The 20,493-nt window shown below is 41.0% G+C and overlaps 1 annotated feature.

Annotated features, from left to right (window-relative positions):
- Positions 1-810: an enhancer, noted in NCBI's record as "H3K27ac-H3K4me1 hESC enhancer chr12:62828889-62829698 (GRCh37/hg19 assembly coordinates)". NCBI's record gives its function as "activates a minimal SCP1, AML or CMV promoter by ChIP-STARR-seq in primed H9 embryonic stem cells {active_cell/tissue: H9 hESC(primed)}" and the evidence as "EXISTENCE:reporter gene assay evidence [ECO:0000049][PMID:30033119]".

Below are 20,493 nucleotides of genomic sequence, written 5' to 3' on the forward strand. Positions count from 1 at the left end.
CCAGGAATTAGCATTCCCTTATTAAAACTGTCCTCTGGATCGTCCAGTTCAAGATGTCTGACTACAGACGTCAGACACCCCCCGCCTCCTAGAAAGAAGAAGCAAACCTGTGAATAGATCATCACACCTGGAATAGAACATCTAGGAGACAGTCCAACAGAGGAATACCTAAGGTTCAGGAAAAGAAAGTGAGCAGTCAGCTCTGCTGAAATGGGCTAGGAGCCCCGAGGGCCTCGGTATTGCGGCGAGAGGGTAAGTGAGAGGGCTCGACGTCTGCATCCCTAAGCGAACTGCTGCGATCCTAAGCGCGGGGAGCTCCCCCACCCAGAGGTACCCAGGCGGTGCTTGGGCGGTAGTTTGGAGACCCTGAGAGGGCAATGCACCAGACAGGAAACTCGCCCTGGGTCTCTCACCACACCCCACCTGAGCTGCGGCAGGTGCCATTGCAGGAGTGCAGCCACCACGGGACTGCACCCTGCCCTGGGAACCACAGCCCCCGTATCTCCACATCCCAGGATCTCCTGCTGACATTCCCCAGTGTCCACTGGACAGCTGCAATGGTACAGCGCTGGCTGGACCCAAAAGGTGCTGCAGGGGCTCCAGTACTCTAGCCCACAGGGAGTACGACTCCCTAAGGAAAGGACGAAAGGCTGCAGCTGCTGCAAAAGAAACCAGAGCAAGTTTTCCAGAGCCCGAAGCTTCCTTTCCTGGGGCTGTGAGAAGTCACTCTGCCCCCAGCGGCAGCACAAACTCTGCTCCGCTTTGTAAGAGAAGAGAGAAGTCCCCATCCAGAGGCCGAGCAGCATCTGCACCTTGTGCTAACGCTGTAGAGAGTGAGACCTCTTCCCCTCTGCACACCGCTGCAGGCACAGCCACTGCCGCTACCCCCAGAGGTAGGGCAGGCAGGTTGGAGGGCTGCCTGTCTGGGGCTGTGAGGGGTGACTACCCCATTGGAGTTGTGGCCTCCGTGCCCGGGCTTGCACATGAAGGGAGGGGTGGGGTCCCTCCCACACTCTGCACGGTGCTGTGGCACTGCTGTATCAGAGAGCAGGAGGGCCTGAGAGCTGCAGGTTTGGAGCTGTGGATGGCGACTCGGCACCGCAGCCACAGCCAACACCAGTGCACACCGATCAGGACCCAGAGGGTCTTCCTGCTACCGCCATTGCCCACACCACGCCCACTGTCTAGAAACCCAAGAGCGGGCTCGCCCGCCTAGCCTACCGTTGCCACTACCAGACTCTAAGCAAGCTACTGGAGGTCCAAGGGTCCACTGGCCTGGGTCTGGTCCAGCTAACATCAGCCAGCATTCGCCCAGGGCCCAGCTCAGGCATACTCAGCCCACTGCTGCCACCACTGGGGCCCAAAGACCGGCCCACTTGGCTTCCCTATCCTCAGCAAAACTTTGCATAGCCTCCACTAATAACCCAACCCTAAACCACTGAGGAAATCAAAAATACTACTGAAACTGTTAACAGCTGAAGAAATCATAGAGTCTACACTATCACAGGTATCCAGAAGCAAAGCCAAAGTGCCCCACCCAACCAACACCATTGATACTCCTCAGGAAAATGTCTTCCCTATAAAAGCAAATTCAAAAAACTGGAAGAAGTGATTATTACACTAGTTGAGAAGGTATCAACGTAAGAATAAGGGAAGCTTGAAAAAGCAAGGAAATGACACCTCCAAAGGAACACAATAAATAATTCCTCAGCAACAGACCCCAATCAAAAAGAAATTCATGAAATCCTGGAAAAAGAATTCAATACTATTATTATTATTTATTATTTGAGACTGAGTCTTGCTCTGTCACCCAGGCTGGGGTGCAGTGGCATGATCTCAGCTCACTGCAACCTCCACCTCCTGGATTCAAGGGATTCTCCTACCTCAGCCTCCTGAGTAGCTGGGATTACAAGCGTGCACCACCACACCCAGCTAATTTTTGTATCTTTGTAGAAATGAGGTTTCACCATGTTGGCCGGGCTGGTCTCGAACTCCTGACCTCAAGTGATCCGCCTGCCTCCGCCTCCCAAAGTGCTGAGATTACAGGTGTGAGCCACTGTACCCGGCCAAGAATTCAAAATTATGATACTAAAAAAGCTCAGTAAGTTACAAGAGAATTTCAAAAAAACAATACAAAGAAATCAGAAAAACAATTCAGGATATAAATGAGAAATTAACCAAAGAGATAGATATACAAAAAGAACCAAACAGAAATTCTGATACTGAAGAAGTCCTCAAATAAAATACAAAATATAGTTGAAAGCTTCAACAATAGACTAGACCAAGCAGCAGAGAGAATGTCAGACTTGAAGACAGGTCTTTTGAAATAACCCACTCTAACAATGTTCCAGAAGGCAAGTGACTTATGTGGAAAGATTGGTACAATTCTTCCGCAACTATTTTTCTCCCCTCTCTGTGCTCTCCCCTATCTCTGCTCTCCCCTCTTTGCATTTTTTGGAGAGGCAGCATGTGTCTGGTTAAAAGTGTGAATTGTGGAGCCAAACTCCCTAGGATTAAATCTCAGCCCCATCACTTATACTAGCAATTAAACATTGGGGAATTTCACTTAATCTTCCTGCTTTAGTCTCCGAATTTGTAAAATAAATATAATAATGTTCACTTTATAGGTTTATTATGAGGACTAAGAATATTTGTAAAGTGCTTAGGACAATGCCTGTTTATGCCTACTTAACTGAGTTCCTATTTCCTATGCCTGGCACATACTAAGGATGATATTAGTATTTCTTAAATAAATATCTCTCCCAAATAGAGGGGAGAAACAGTCCATGAAAGAATAGGTTCTCTTTCTTATCCTCGTCTCTCAATCTTTCTCTCCAGCTTTCTCTCCAACTTTGCCTCTGCTTCTTATTTGCTCAACATTTACTGAGCACCTTCTGTGTACTGGATACTATTTTAAACTGTTGATTACATTTGAATTATAAACACACTGCCCTTATCTTCTTACCATATAATGAAACAAATCAGCACTTGGGCAGGCTATGACAAGGCAACAAGATGGAGGAAGAGGAGGGAAAAGCAGAATGCAAGCTGTTCCCTCTCTCTCTCTTTTGAAGAAAATAAACTAAGAACTTTACCCGTCAAAGTAAGGGAAGAGCTGGCTATCTTTTATTAGAAAAGTTGAGAGGTTTCAAAGTGTTGTTCCTACAGTTAACTTAAAATCGTCTGGTTTTAGTTAATTCTAGCCAGCAGGGGGCAGGAGTGTCCAGCTGTGTGAACCCAGTTATTCTGATCTTTCCAAGACTTCACTAAAGAAAAAGTGCTTCCAACTTGATGTACGGGAGCTTCAAATTCTTAAGCTATACAATTGGTGCACAGAAAAATGATTATTGGTATTAACGTGTTAAAATTGGTAAATAGGAATACATTTCTACTGATTTTGATGGTCGATTTGACTGTCGTTTTCCCACAAACATTTGGTCTCTCTTCAAATCTCCAGGTAACAAAAATTTCTGCCTTTACATTCCTCAGATAATCTCAACTGAGGACAGGGATGTAGGGAAAACACAGATTCTCAAGACATCAGGCCTCCCCAACTGGGCAACCTTGGCTTGTTATTTAACCTCCCTGAGTTTTTGCTTAAAAAGTCTGTAAAGACTAGGCTGAAGTCCCACTTTGGACCATCCAGGGAACCGCATCCTTTAGGGAATGGGGCTATTATGAGGATGTGTCCAGGTTGACACTGAAGGGCTAAGTCACAGGTATCACCTTGCTCTCTGATCTTTTGGGTTTCTGCACTCACAGCTGCTACAATAGGGGCCCATGCAGTCCTAGAAGTCAAACCCAGCTCAGAATTTTGTTTAAAAGTTTTGCTTCTGGTATGTTTCCAGGAAATTTACATTGTATTTCTTTGTTTAATAATGGTTTTATAAAAGATACAATTTTCACTTTCTACACAACATATACCTTATCATCTAACATTTGCAGTGCTTTTTACAGTTCTTATTTGTGCTTTTTAAACTTTTCTTAAGGCAAACAGGCCTGTTTGCTTTAAGAGTACAGAGAAGAGCATTCTTCAATTTTCTGTTTTTATTTTTTAGTTTCTTCTTAAACCTGAGTATTTTTTTTAATGTTGAAAACAGTACAGGTTCAATATAAAGCATTTGAATGATCACGGTTAAAAGCAAAAATTGTCTAATATCCCACCAACCAGTGATAACCAGCATTAATATTTTGCTGTTTATCTTTCTGATCTGCTGTCTCTGTCTCTTTTTTAAATTTAACTTTTATTTTAAGTTCAGAGGTACATGTGTAGGTTTGTTATATAGGTAAACTTGTGTCATGGGAGTTTGTTGTACAGATTATTTCATCACCCAGGTATTAAGCCTTGTACTCATTATTTTTCCTGATCCTCTCCCTCCTCCCACACTTTGCCCTCAAATAAGTCCCAGTGTGTGTTCTTTCTCTCTATGTATCCATGTGTCTCATAATGAGAACATGTAGTATTTGGTTTCTGTTCTTGTGTTAGTTTGCTAAGGATAATGGCCTCCGGCTCCATCCATGATCCTGCACAGGACATAATCTCATGGGGTTTTTTTATGGCTGCATAATATTCCATGGTGTGTCTGTACCACATTTTCTTTATCCAGTCTACCACTGATGGGCATTTAGGTTGATGCCATGTCTTTGCTATTGTGAATAGTGCTGCAGTGAACATACATGTGCATGTATTTTTATAATAGAATGATTTATATACCTTGGGGTATATACCCAGTAATGGGATTGCTGAGTCAAATGGTAGTCCTGTTTTTAGGTCTTTGAGGAATCACTACAATGTCTTCCACAATGGCTGAACTAATTTACACTCCCCTTTCTCCCACAGTCTCAACAGCATCTGTTATTTTTTTACTTTTTTTTTTTTTTTTTTGAGATGGAGTCTTGCTCTGTCGCCCAGGCTGGAGTGCAGTGGTGCGATCTCGGCTCACTGCAACCTCCGCCTCCTGGGTTCAAGCGATTCTCCTGCCTCAGCCTCCTGAGTAGCTGGGATTACAGGTGCATGCCACCACATCTGGCTAATTTTTGTATTTTTAGTAGAGACGGGGGTTTCACCATGTTGGTCGGGCTGGTCTCGAACTCCTGACCTTGTGATCTGCCTGCCTTGGCCTCCCAAAGTGTTAGGAGTTGGGATTACAGGCGTGAGCCACTGTGCCAGGCCCTTTTTTTTTTTTTTTTTTTTTTTGAGACAGGGTCTCTCTCTGTTGCCCAAGCTGGAGTGCAGTGGCACGAACTCGGTTCACTGCAGCCTCAACCTCCTGGGTTCAAGCAATTCTCCCACATCAGCCTCCCGAGTAGCTGGGATTACAGGGTGTGCCACCACACCCGGCTAATTATTTTTTTGACTTTTTAATAGTAGCCATTCTGACTGGTGCGAGATGGTGTCTCATTGTAGTTTTGATTTGCATTTATCTAATTATCAGTGATGGTGACCTTTCTTTCATATGATTGTTGACTGCATGTATGTCTTCTTGCGAAAAGTGTCTGTTCATGTCCTTTGCCCACTTTTTAATGGGGTTGTTTGGTTTTTTCTTGTAAATTTGTTTAAGTTCCTTATAGATGCTGGCTATTAGGCCTTTGTCACGCACATAATTTGCAAAAAAATTTTTTTCAATTCCGCAGGTTGCCTGTTCACTATGTTGATAGTTTATTTTGCTGTGCAGAAGCTCTTTCATTTAATTAGATCTCATTTGACAATTTTTGCTGTTGTTATAATTGCTTTTGGCATCTTCATCATGAAATCTTTGCCTGTTCCTATGACCAGAATAGTATTGCCTAGGTTGTCTTCCATGGTTTTTATAGTTTGGGGTTTTACATTTCAGTTTTGATTCATCTTGAGTTAATTTTTGTATATGGTATAAAAAAAGGGTCTAGTTTCATTCTTCTGCATGTGGTTAGCCAGCTATTCCAGCACAACTTATTGAAGAGGGTGTCCTTTCTCCATTGCTTATTTTTGTCAACTTTGTTGAAAATCAGATGACTGTAGGTTTGCAGCTTTATTTCTAGTTCTCTATTCTGTTCCACTGGTCTATGTGTCTGTTTTTGTATCAATACCATGCTGTTTTGATTACTGTAGCCTTATAGTATAGTTTGACATTGGGTAATGTGATGCCTCTGGCTTTGTTGTTTTTGCTTAGGATTGCTTTGGCTATCCAGGCTCTTTTTAATTTCCACATGAAATTTAGGATAGTATTTTTAGTTGTGTGAAAAAAATGACATTGATAGTTTGATAGGAATAACTTGAATCCGTAGATTGCTTTGGGCAGTATGGCCGTTTTAATGATGTTCATTCTTCCAATTAATGAGCATGGAATGTTTTTCCATTTGTTTGTGTCATCTATTATTTCTTTTAGCAGTGTTTTGTAAGTCTCCTTATAGAGATCTTTCACCACCTTCGTTAGATGTGTTCCTAGGTATTTTATTGTTTGTTTTTGTGGTTATTGTAAATGGGATTGCATTCTTGGTTTGGCTCTCAGCTGGAATGTTATTGGGGTATAGAAATTCTACCTACTTTTGTACATTGATTTGGTATCCTTAAACTTTATTGAAGTTGCTTATCAGTTTCAAGAGCCTTTTAGCAGGGTCTCCAGGGTTTTCTGGGTATAGAATCATATTATTCATGAAGAGATATAGTTTGACTTGTTCTTTTCTTGTTTGGATGCCTTTTATTTCTTTTTCTTGCCTGATTGTTCTGGCTAGCACTTCCAGTACTATGTTGCATGGGAGTAGTAAGAGCGACCATTCTTGTCTTGTTCCAGTTCTCAAAAGGGAATGCTTTCAGTTTTTGCCTATTCAGTATGATGTTGGCTGTAGGTTTGTCATAGATAGCTCTTTATTATTTCAAAGTATGTTCCTTTGATGCCTAGTTTCTTGAGAGTTTTTATCAGATAGAAGTTATAGCTTTTATAGAAAGCATTTTCCGCATCTATTAAGATGATCATAAGGTTTTTGTTTTTAATTCTGTTATGTGATGAATCATATGTATTAATTTGTGTATGTTGAACCAACCATGCATTCCATGAATGAAACCTACTTGATCTAACTTTTTGATGTACTGATGAATTCAATTTGCTAGTATTTTGTTGAGGATTTTTCTGTCTGTGTTCATCAGCAATATTGGTCTGTAGTTTTCTTCATTTGTTTTATCCTTGTCTAGCTTTAGTATCAGTGTGATGCTGGCTTCATAGAATGAGTTAGGGAGGAGAACCTCCTCCTCAATTTTTTGGATTGGTTTCAGTAGAATTAGTACCAGCTCTCTTTTGTATATCTGGTAAAATTCAGCTGTAAATCTATCTGGTCCAGGGCTTTTGTTAATTGGTTGATTTTTAAATTACTACTTCAATTTCAGAACTCAGTATTGCCCTGTTTAGGTTTTCAATTTCTCCTTGGTTCAATCTTGAGAGATTGTGTGTTTCCAAGGATTTATTCATTTCTTCTGTATTTTCTAGTTTGTATGCATAGAGGTGTTCATAATAGTCTCAGAGGATCATTTGTGTTTCTGTGGAATTGGTTGTAATGTCATCTTTGTTGTTTCTGATTGTGTTTATTTGGATCTTCTCTTTTTTTTTCTTTTGATAATCTAGATAGTGGTCTATCAGTCCTGTTTATCCTTTCAAAGAACCAGCTTTTGGTTTTGTTGATGTTTTGTATGAATTTTGGGGTCTCAATTTCATTCAGTTCAGCTTCGATTGTAGTTATTTCTTTTCTTCTGCTAGCTTATGGTTAGTTTGTTCTTGCTTTTCTAGTTTCTTTAGGTGTGATATTAGATAGTTTGAGATATTTCTAATGTTTTGAGGTAGGCATTTAGACCTATAAACTTTCCTCTTAAGACTGCTTTTGCTGCACTCCAGAGATTTTGATATGTTGTGTTTCTGTTATCTTTTATTTCAAAGAATTTTTAAATTTTTGCCTTAATTTCATTATTAGCCAAAAAGTCACTCAAGAGCAAGTTATTTAATTTCCATGTAATTGTGTGGTTTTGAGAGATCTTATTGCTATTGATTTCTAGTTTTATTCCACTGTGGTCTAAGAGTATGGTTGGTATGATTTCAATTTTTTTGAATTTATTCAGACTTGCTTTATGGCTGAGCATGTGGTTGATCATGGAGTATGCTCTGTGTGCAGATGAGAAGAGTGTATATTCTGTGGTGGATGAGTGGGGTATTCTGCAGATGTCTATTAATTCCAATTCATCAAGTGTCGAATTTAAGTCCAGAATTTCTTTGTTAGCTTTCTACCTCAACGATCTGTCTAACACTGCCAGTGGGATACTGAAGTCCCTCGTTATTATTGTGTGGCTGTCTAAGTCTTTGCATAGGTGTAGAAGTAATTGCTTTATGAATCTGCGTGCTCCAATTTTGGGTGCATATATATTTAGGATAGTTGAGTCTTCTTGTTGAATTGAACCCTTTATCATTATATAATGCCCTTCTTTCTACTTTTTCACTGTTGTTGGTTTAAATTCTGTTTCATCTGATATAAAAACAATAACTTCTGCTCTTTTTTTGTTTTCTGTTTGTGTGGTAGATCTTTCTCTAACTCTTTACTTCGAGCCTGTTGGTGTAGTTACCTGTGAGATGGGTCTCTTGAAGACAGCAGACAGATGAGTCTTGATATTTTTATCCAACTTGCCACTTTGACTTTTAAGTGGGTCATTTAGACCATTTACCTTTAAGGTTAATATTGACATGTGAGGTTTTGATCCTAACACAAATTTGTTAGCTGGTTGCTTTGCAGTTTCTGTTGTGTGGTTGTTTTATAGGGTCTGTGAGTTATGTACTTTAGCGTGCTTTTGTGCTTTTATTTCTGTTTAGAACTCCCTTAAGGATTGCTCATAAGGCTGGTCTAGTGACAATGAATTCCCTTAGCACTTGCTTGTCTGGAAAATATTTTATTTCTTCTTTGCTTATGAAGCTTAGTTTGGCAGGATGTGAAATTCTTGGTTGGAATTTCTTTTGTTTAAGAATGGTAAAAATAGGTCCCCAATCTCTCCTAGCTTTTAAGGTTTCTGCTAAGAAGTCCACTGTTAGCCTGATGGGGTTCCCTTTGTACATGATCTGACCTTTTTCTCTAGCTGCTTTTAAGATTTTTTTCTTGCCGGGTGCAGTGGCTCACACCTATAATCCCAGCACTTTGGTAGGCCAAGGCGAGTGTATCACAGGGTTAGGAGTTCAAGATCAGCCTGACAAACATGGTGAAACCCCATCTCTACTAAAAATACAAAAATTAGCTGGGGGTGGTGGTGCATGCCTGTATCCCAGCTACTTGGGAGGCTGAGGCAGAAGAATCGCTTGAGCCTGGGAGGTAGAGATTGCAGTGAGCTGAGATCACGCCACTGCACTCCAGCCTGGGTGACAGAGTGAAACTCTGTCTCAAAAAAAAAAAAGGATTTTTATCTTTAGCAATGACCTTGGACAGTCGTGACTATATGCCTTGATGATGTTCACTTTGTATAGCATCTTTCAGGTGTTTTTTGGATTTCTTGTACCCAGATGTCAATGTTTCTGGAAAGATTAGGGAAATTATCTTAAATTATTCCCTCAAATATGTTTTCCAGTTTGTTTGCTTTTTCTCCTTCTTTCCAGAATTCCATACTTCATACCTTTGGTCGCTTTATATGCTCCCCATATTTCTTGAAAACTTTATTCATTTTTTTAAATTATTTTCTTTATTTTTGTCTCGCTGGATTAGTTTGAAAGACAAGACTCTGAAATTCTTTCTTCTGCTTGGTTTAGTCTATTAATAAAGCTTTCAATTGTATTTGAAATTCCTTAAGTGAGTTTCTCAATTCCAGAAACTCTGGTTGATTTCTTTTTAGGATGTTTATCTCTTTCTTCATTTCCTGGATTGCTCTAGAAGTTTCTTTGTGTTGATTTTCAATCTTATCTTGGATCTAATTGATTTTCCTTGCAATCCATGCTTTGAATTTTTTTATCTGTCATTTCTGAGTTTCCATTTTCATTAGGAACCATTACTGGAGAGCTGTGTGAACTTTTGGTAGTGTCACTACATTCAGATTTTTCATGGTGCAAGAATTCTTGTGCTGGTTCCTACTAATCTGGAGACACTGGTATTTCTAAGTTTTGTAAATTTTTTTTTTTTTTTTTGACAGAGTCTCACTCTGTCTCCCAGGCTTGGCTCACTGTAACCTCGGCCTCCCAGATTCAAGTGATCCTCCCACCTCAGCTTCCCAAGTAGCTAGGATTACAGGCATGCACCACCATGGCCAGCTAATTTTTTTGTATTTTTAGTAGAAATGGGGCTTTGTCTTGTTGGCCAGGGTGGTCCCATACTGCTGACCTCAAGTGATCCACCCACCTTTGTCTCCCAAAATGCTAGGATTACATGTGAGAGCCACTGCACCCGGCCAGTTTTGTAATTATTTTATTGTGGGTAGGACTTTTTCTTTTTCTTTCTTTTCCTCTGTATTTTCTTTCCTTTCTCTTTCTCTTCCCTCCCGTTCTTAGGGGATGTGACTGTAGAGAAGACTAGGTAAGATCTTCTGGCTTTTCTGCTATACTCCTATGCATTTCTGTCAGCAGTTTTTATATCAGGCTGTGCAGTTCAACCTGCAAGCCAGTAGATGAAACTTGTAGGTAAGAACAGGCTGTGACCAAGGGTGCTGGGTATATACTTGATCCTTTTTTACTGGGAGAAGCCCTCTGTTGCCTCAGGAAATGGGCTGGTTCTTGGAGTGCAGAGTGGTCTGAACTCCCTGCTCAGCCCCAGGGTGGTGGGGACAAGATGGGCAGGTCTGGACTGGGCAGGTCCACCTACAGGTCCCCCAATGGCAGACACAAGCACCAGCACTGAGGGAAAATCTAGTGGGTGGCCACCGAGTACCCAGAGGTGTGCCTAGGTATGGAGCTGGGAATCCTCCTCAGCCCCAGTTCTCTGCATGGGTTGGGAGGTGGCCAAAACACTTAATCCAAGAAAGTGGGTGCTCTTCATGCCTGGAAATCTGCTTGAGTGTGGATTAGAGAAGGCTCCCTTGCACCAGGATCTCTGCATAACATAGGTGCCACATTTTCTTTACCCATTTATCCGTTGATAAACATTTGGGCTGCTTCCACCTCTTGGCTATTGTGACTAGTGCTGCAATTAACATGGGTGTGCAAATATCTCTTCAAGGTATTGCTTTCAATTCTTTTGAATATATACCTGGAAGCAGACTTGCTGTATCTGATGGTAGTTTTTTGTTTGTTTGTTTGGTTTTTGTTTTGTTTTTTTGAGATGGAGTTTTGCTCTTATTGCCCAGGCTAGAGTGCAATGGTGCAATCTTGGCTCACCACAACCTCCATCTCCCAGGTTCAAGCGATTCTCCTGTCTCAGCCTTCTGAGTAGCTGAGATTACAGGCATGCACCATCACATCTGGCTAATTTTGTGATTTTAGTAGAGATGGGGTTTCTCTATGCTGGTCAAGCTGGTCTTGAACTCCCGACCTCAGGTGATCTGCCTGCCTCGGCCTCCCAAAGTGCTGGGATTACAGGCATGAGCCACCACACCCAGCCCCCAGTGGTAGTTTTATTTTTAATTTTTTGAGAACCACCACACTGGGAGGGTAGGAGGATGAGAGATAATTCTCTAATCCACCTCCCTAAGAATTTGGGGACTAGGGTTTCTCAAGGACAGTTTGGTAGGCAGGGAGCTAGGGAATGGAGAATACTGATTGGTCAGGTCAGAGATGAAATCATAGGAAGTTGACACTTTCTTCTTGTACTGAGTTAGTTCCTGGCTATGGGTTACCAGTCTGGGTGGTGCCAGTTTAACCATAACAAATGCAAGGTCTGAAAAATATCTCAAACACCAGTCTTAGGTTTTACAACAGCAATATTATCCATAGGGACAATTAGGGAAGTTGTAAATCTTGTGACCGTTGACTACATGACTCCTGAGCAGTAAGTAGTTTTAAAAAGGCAAGTTATAAAACAATGGTTAGTTAGAGTTTAACTGTGCCTACATCTTAGCAGAATTCAGGCCTTTATCACAATTCTAGCATTGTGAATTCTAACCATAATTCTACCTTTTGTTAGTTTTACAAAGGCAGTTTCAGTCCTGAGCAAAGAAGCATTTAATTTTGGAAAGGGACTGTTATCATCTTTGAATCAAAGTTAAACTATAAACTGAATTCCTCCCATAGTTAGCTTGGACTGAGCACACAGCTCGTGAGGTTAGAAGCAAGAGTCAGTTATGTTAGATTTCCCTCACTGTCATAATTTTTAGATTTCCTTCATTGTCATAATTTTTGCAAAGGCAATTTCAAACCTCCATGTATTAGTCCATGTTCATGCTACTAATAAAGACATACCCTAGACTGGATGATTTATACAGGAAAGAAGCTTAATGGACTCACAGTTCCATATGGCTGGGGAGGCCTCACAATTATGGTGGAAGGCAAGGAGGAGCAAGTCATGTCTTAGATGGATGGCAGCAGGCAAAAAGAGAGCTTGTGTAGGGAAACACCCCCTTATAAAATCATCAGATCTCATGAGACTTATTCACTATCACGAGAACAACACTGGAAAGACCCGCCTCCATGATTCAATTATCTTCCACTGGGTCCCTCCCACAACACATGGGAATTAAAGGAGTACAATTTTTTTTCTTTTTTGAGACAGAGTCTCGCTCTGTTGCCCAGGCTGGAGTATAATGGGGCAGTCTTAGCTCACTGCAACCTCTGCCAAGGGAGTACAATTTGAGATGAGATTTGGGTGGGGACACAGAGCCAACCATATCACTCCACCTATATCTCACTGGCCAGAATTTAAAAGCATGTCCATATCCAACTGTATAGAAGGCTAGAAAATATAGTCCCTTAGTTGGGCAAATTACTTATTGAATTTTATTTTATTTTATTTTATTTTATTTTATTTTATTTTATTTTATTTTATTTTTGAGACGGAGTCTCACTCTGTCACCCAGGCTGGAGTGCAGTGGCATGATCTCAGCTCACTGCAAACTCCACTTCCCGGGTTCAAGCAATTCTCCTGTCTCAGCCTCCTGAGTAGCTGGGACTACAGGCACATGCCACCATGCCTGGCTAATTTTTGTATTTTTAGTAGAGACAGGGTTTCACCATATTGGTCAGGCTGGTTTCGAACTCCTGACCTCAAGTGATCCACCCACGTCAGCCTCCCAAAGTGCTGGGATTACAGGCATGAGCCACCCCGCCCAGCCTTATTTAATATTTTTTAAAGAGAGTTGTCAAACTCAGCTGATCAGTACAAATGGTGTAATCTTGACCGCAAACATGGATAAATACAAAAAAAGGAAAAGGCCACTTAATTTTTGAACTTTAACAGAAATTTTGAATATTTTAACAGAAATATTCTAAATAAACTACATGTATACTCCACTTTAGACATTTCCAACTAACGTTTTCCCAGTAGAACACCTTTTTGTTATTACTATTCAGATTTCATAGGATGTATACAATACAACATTTTTTGGCTGATGCTTATTATAAAGAATGTTTATACTTATGCCCAGAAAAATATTCAATACAATTTTTAAACAAAACAATATGTGGGGAAAGTTTTGAGTTACATCGTAAATGCAATAGTTGAGCTGTCAAATCTCATGTGGAAATTTTGAAAAGCATACTGCGAGTCAACAAAACCAAGAGAAATGTGCACTGGGGATGTTGCTGGCCCAGAGAGGCCAAGCCATACCTACAGAGCAACTATATGCTTACAGTCAGTCTTAATTTTCAGGTGATCAAGAAGTGATGTTTTAAGCATTATATATATATATATATATATATATATATATATATATATATATTTTTTTTTTTTTTTTTTTTTTTTTTTTTTTTTTTAGATGGAGTTTTGCTGTTGTTGCCCAGGCTGGAGTGCAATGGCATGATCTCACCTCAATGCAACCTCTGCCTCCAGGGGTTAAAGCAATTCTCTTGCCTCAGCCTCCCAAGTAGCTGGGATAACAGGCACATGCCACCATGCCTGGCTAATTTTGTATTTTTAGTAGAGTTAGGGTTTCTCCATGTTGGTCAGGCTGGTCTTGAACTCCTGACCTCAGGTGATTCGCCTGCCTCGGCCTCCCAAAATGCTGTGATTACAGGTGTGAGCCACTGTGCCGGGCTGCACTTTATATTCTTACAGTACTGTTTGTTCATTTTTATGGATTTTTAAAATGGGTTTCGTATGGTTTAGGAAATTGATTTGGGGTTTGGCTTGATATGAAATGCATCAAAACTTTTCCTGGTTGGTGACTTCATTCATGACATCTGATTTTCAAAAACTGATTACAGAGATTAAGCAGGAAATGCCTATATTAAGGGACTTAAATCCAAAAGTGTAATAAAAAAATTATTTGGCTGGGCGTGGTGGCTCACACCTGTAATCCCAGCACTTTGGGAGGCCGAGGCGGGTGGATCACTCGAGGTCAGGAGTTCAAGACCAGCCTGGCCAACATGGTAAAACCCTGTCTCTACTAAAAATACAAAACTAACTGGGCATGGTAGCACATGCCTGTAATCCCAGCTACTCAGGAGGCTGAGACAGGAGACTCGCTTGAACCCAGAAGGTGGAGGTTGCAGTGAGCCGAGATCGAGCCACTGCACTGCAGCCTGGGCGACAGAGTGAGACTCCTCAAAAAAAAAAAAATCATTATAATCAAGTTTATCCTAAGACTGCAAACATAGTCCATACCAGAAAAGTCTAGCAATATAACTTCTCCCTAATATTCTAAAAGAAAAAATTACATGATAAACTCACTAGATTCTTAAAATAATTACCACGGGCTTGGCCCCATGGCTCATGCCTGTAACCCCAGCACTTGGGGAGGCCAAGGCAAGCGGATTGCCTGAGCTCAGGAGTTCGAGACCAGCCTGGGCAACATGGCGAAACCCCATCACTACAAAAAATACAAAAATTAGCTGGGCACAGTGGTGTACACCTATAGTCCCAGCTACTCAGGAGACTGAGGCAGGAGAATTGCTTGAGCCTGGGAGGAGGAGGTTGCAGTGAGCCAAGATCACGCCATTGCACTCCAGCTGGGGCAACACAGCAAAACCTTGTCTCAAAATAAAATGAAATAAAATAATTCCCACATATACGCATATGCTAATTTTTTTTTAAAAAAAGCACTTTTAACAAAGAAACAGACTAGAAGGAAACTCCCTCATCTTGACAAAGGTGTAATACCAAAAACAGAGCAAACATAATACTTAATGGAAAAAAATTGAGATGCATTCACTTTAAGCTCAGGAAAACACAGGTTGCTCATATACAGCCATACAGTTTTCAGTGGTTTTGAAGGAGCTGGTAAGTTGTATAAGAAAAGAAGAAGAAAGGAGATGTAAGAATTGAAAAAAAAGATAAAGCTCTCATTATTTCTAGATGATGTAATCTATGTAGGAAACTCAGAATCAGTAAGCAAGCTATTTGATGAATACGAGTATCCAGAAAGATTGCCAGATACCAGATGAATTCATACAAATCATCCATATGAGCAATAATCAATGGAAAATATAATAGAACAAGCAAAAGTATCTAAGAATGTAACTTAAAACAGAAATTATGAAAAAATTATCTATGAAATTATCGATGAAAAAATATTTTAAATCTATTCAAAGTCATAACCAGCCTGGGCAATGTAGTGAGACCTCATCTCGACAACAACATCAACAATAATAACAGCAACAACAACAAATTAGGCGGTTGTCATGGCATGTCTGTGGTCCTAGCTACTTTGGAGGCTGAGATAGGAGAATGGCTTGAGCCCAGGAAGCTGAAGCTATAGTGTGTGGTGATTGCACCACTGCACTCCAGCCTGGGCAAAAGAGCAAGACCCTGTCTCCAAAAGAAAAAGTCAACAGAGCAAGACCCTGTCTCCAAAAAAAAGTCATAGGGAAGTATTTGAATAAATGGAAAGATATTTTATTCTCTTAAATGGGATAATATCTATATGTCTATATATCTAGATAGATAGATATTCTCCCCAAGTTAATCCATAAGTTTCATGCAATCCCAATCAAAATTTCAGCTGTAGCTTTTTTAAATAGAAATTCAACAGTCAAAAGTTATACAGAAGAACAGAGATCCTTATTTATCTTTTTCAGCTGTAAAAGAAGAACCACATGGGGAGGAGTTGCCTTAGCAGATATTAAGACACACAACAAGGTCATGAAGTAGAATGGGAGTAGGAAGGCCTGGGAGGTCTTGCAGGGGTAGAGGCATCTGATGCATATTATCTCAATACATTTCTTCACAACCCCGACTTTACAGTGGACATTTCAACCTCGCCCCATGGCTTTCTTAAGCATTCTTTCACTATGTGGTCCCCTCTGTTACACATCCTAGACTGCTCTGAGACCCTGAAGTTGCGCACCATGCTCAGAAGAATGAACAGGAAAAAAGAGAAATGGGCAGAGCAGGAATGTGAGAAATGACCCAGGCTTGGATGACTTTCCTGTGATCTTCCCCTCTGGGATCTGCTCTCTGATGGAATACTTAATCTAACACCTGACATGCTCAAAGACTGTGCAGGTGGCATGGGCTTTCAGGTATTGGTAAGATTATGGTTCATCATTGGAGCAGAATGTTAGGAGAGCAGGCCTTACCTATCAATGCACCCTTTTCCTACATCTTTTTTTCTGCATTGATGCTGGGAAACTAAACAAGGAGGAGAGCATGGGACACAATTGTCAATCTCCCTTTTCAAGGCATCCTTAAGAACTTCATCCATGAATAATATATTGTTTGTACTTAGTATGGTATTAATTTTTAAAGTGGATAAAGTACTTTTTCATTTTTGTTTAAAGCACATGTTATCATGTTGAATAACATGAAACATGTTTTTCCAGAGGGGAGCCTCAGTTGATTTTTCCTCTGTTGAAAAGGCACTGAATTTCATTCCTACAGGTTATGTATGCTCCATTTGATAGGATGATGTTCCCTGAGGACAAAATTTAGACTACAACATTGCTCTGCATATCAGCCCTTACACAAATAAATGGTTTGGCCTAGAGATACCTGATATGGGAAGGGGACTGGTGAACAAATGTTAAGGAAATCTCTTTTCCTGTGGGGGTCCTGAATCCCTAAATATTATAATCCATAGCCTAACTAAAGTACTAAATTATTGTGTTTGAGATTTTATTCTAAAAGTCCTCTGCCACACCCAGATGGATAGTCTGCAAGTCTGGATTGAAATAGTAACCTCTACTCTAGTATCTTTCCCATCTAATCTGTTATCTTAGATAATAATCTTTCCTTTCCCGAGAGTTCTGTTCTAAGATGTCCCTCTGGGCCAGCACAATTGAGTTAGAAAAGTGGGAAGTGGACAGGAGACAAAAGAGTGAATCTCTACTATGAGCTGGTCCTAAGGATCACTTACCTTAATGATGTCCTGATGTTTCATTAATATGGGTAGAATTTGATTCCTCTGTTGGTAGTATATTCAGTACCATAAGGTGGAACCCCACCACTCACAAGAGAAAACAAAGAAGAAAATGAAGCTTTATGTAGTTGAGCTTGAGCTCAGCCATGGGGCTCTAAAGAGATATTCTCCATCGTCTAAAGCACAGTGCTGCTTCAGGCAACTGAGCACTGAGACAGCCCACTGTAGCCACCCTCAGTGAAGTTCCTGCCAGCCCACTCTAGCCACCCTCAGTGAGGTTCCTGCCATCCCTGCTTACCTTTCCCTATAAAAGAAAAGCCTTTTCCTATTTGATTTTGAGATGCTTCTAGATCTTATGTTCAGAGCATTCTCTGAACATAATTTTCATATTGCTGTAGTCACTATGAAAAAAAACTCTCCTTAGTTGTCAAGATTTGTTTATTTGATAGTTTTATAGTGTCATGACTTGCTCAAGTGCTGTTTGTTCCTCAGAACCTACTGTCTTTACCCGGGTATTCATATTCATGCTGTCTTCTCAGATCTTTTGTGCCCTCCTTCTTGGCTGGGGAAATCAAGATCCATGGTACATTGGTTTGTTATGGCTGCCATAGCAAAATACCACAGACTAGATGGCTTAAACAATGGAAATTTATTTTCTCACAATTCTGGAGGCTGGGAAGTCCAAGATCTAGGTATCACCATGGTTGGTTTCTTCTGAGGGCTCTATCCTGTCAAATGGAGCATACACAACCTGTAGGAATGAAATTCAAGAAGGCAGATAGCTGCCTTCTTGCTGTGTCCTCACATGTCATCTCTGTCAGTTTCCTAATCTGTGTCATTTTCCTAATCTCTTCTTATAAAGACATCGGTCATATCAGATTAGGGCCCACCCAGATGACCTCATTTTCCTTTAATTACTTCTTTAAAGGCTGTATCTCCAACTACTCTCACATTTAGAGGCACTAGGGGTTAGGAAATCAACACATAAATTTTGGAAACACGATTGAGCCCATAAAGCACAGTAACTCCTAATCTGGTGACTTAGAAAGTTGTCTAACATAGTAAGGAATTACTTTGATTCTATTGAATGGGGAATCTTCCTCTTTCTTTTTTTTTTTTTTTTTTTTCTATTTCAGCAAGAATCTTCCTGGATGGCTGGGCATGGTGGCTCACACCTGTAATCCCAGCACTTTGGGAGGCCGAGGGGGGTGGATCACCTGAGGTCTGGGGTTTGAGACCAGCCTGGCCAACATGGTGAAACCCCATCTCTACTAAAAATACAAAAAAATTAGATGGGCATGGTGGCGGGCGCCTGTAATCCCAGCTACTTGGGAGGCTGAGGCAGGAGAATCTCTTGAACTCAAGGGGCAGAGGTTGCAATGAGCCAAGATCACACCATTGTACTCCAGCCTGGGCAACAAGATTGAAACTCTGTCTCCAAAAAAAAAAAAAAATAATAATCTTCCTGGATGAAGGTCATCTTGGCAAGTTTTTTTAAAAAATTATTTTAATTGTTAAACAAAATAAATATTGTTAAATATTTATATTATATATTGTTAATATTTTAAGGAACTGTCATACTATTTTCCATAACAGCATCTTGGCTCTTTTTGAGTGGAAATTTAATCTATGACTCTTTCTATTGAGAGAGACTCTTACTGGTTCTTTTCTGTTTGAATGGGAATTTTCTTGGATGGAAGTCTTGACCCTTTTTGAGTGAGAATTTAATCCCTGAAACTTTCTATTGAGTGGAATTCTTCCTGCCTTTTTTTTTTGAGACACATTCTCACTCTGTCACCCAGGCTGGAGTGCAGTGGCGCAATCTAGGCTCACTGCAGTCTCTGCCTCCTGGGTTCAAGCCATTCTCCCTGCCTCAGCCTCCCCAATAGCTGGGATTACAGGTGCCCGGCACCATGTTCAGCTAATTTTTGTAGTTTTAGTAGAGACAGGATTTCACCATTTTGGCCAGGCTGCTCTCAAACTCCTGACCTCAGGTGATCCACACACCCGCCCGATTTGGAGCGAGAATTATTAATGGGATTAGTTTAGTATTCAGGTAAACAAAACAGACCTCACAAAAGATCCAGGAGGATTCCCATTCAACAGAAAAGAGCCAGGAAGGGCCAGGCATGGTGGCTCATGCCTGTAATCCCAGCACTTTGGGAGGCCAAGGCTGGCGGATTGCTTGAGGTCAGGAGTTGGAGACCAGCCTGGCCAACATGGCAAAATCCCATCTCTACAAAAAAATCCAAAAAATTAGCAGGGTGTGGTGGTGCATGCCTGTAGTTCCAGCTACTCGGAAGACTGAAGGATGAGAATCGCTTGAACCCAGGAGGTGGAGCTTGCGGTGAACCAAGATCATGCCTCTGCACTCCAGCCTGGGTGACAGAGTGAGACTCTGTCTCAAATAATAATAATTCTCACTCCATCAGGTGCTTGTCCACTTTTTCCCTTCCAGACTATATGCTCCAGCAGTACTATGGCACTAATTCGGTCCAATATCTCCAAAAAATGGCAACAATTTTTTTTTTTTTTTGAGATGGAGTCTCGCTCTGTTGCCCAGGCTGGAGTGCAATGGCGTGATCTCGGCTCACTGCAACCTCTGCCTCCCGGGTTCAAGCAATTCTCCTGCCTCAGCTTCCTGAGTAGCTGGGATTACAGGTGCCTGCCACCATACCCAGCTAATTTTTGTATTTTTAGTAGAGATGGGGTTTCACCATGCTGGCCAGGCTGGTCTCAAACTCCCGACCACAGGCGATCCACCCACCTTGGGCTCCCAAAGTGCTGGGATTACAGGCATGAGCCACGACACCCAGCTGGCAAAATTTTATAAAGAATAATTTGAAGCCACAGTGGCCTCTTTCCCCAAAGTTGATTCATCTATGGGAAGCCCTTGTATCCTGGGGATTCAAAGTCTCTAATTTCTCTTGATATGGAGAAGCTGACAAATGTCTTTCTCAGTCTAACATTTTTTATTTTTTTATTTTTTGTTAAGATGGTGTATTAATCAATTTTCAAACTGCTGATAAAGACATACCCAAGACTGGGCAATTTACAAAAGAAAGAGGTTTAATGGACTTACAGTTCCTCTTGGTTGAGGAGGTGTCACAATCATGGTGGAA

The sequence above is a fragment of the Homo sapiens genome, chromosome 12 (assembly GCF_000001405.40).
Source record: "Homo sapiens chromosome 12, GRCh38.p14 Primary Assembly".
NCBI lineage: Eukaryota > Metazoa > Chordata > Mammalia > Primates > Hominidae > Homo > Homo sapiens.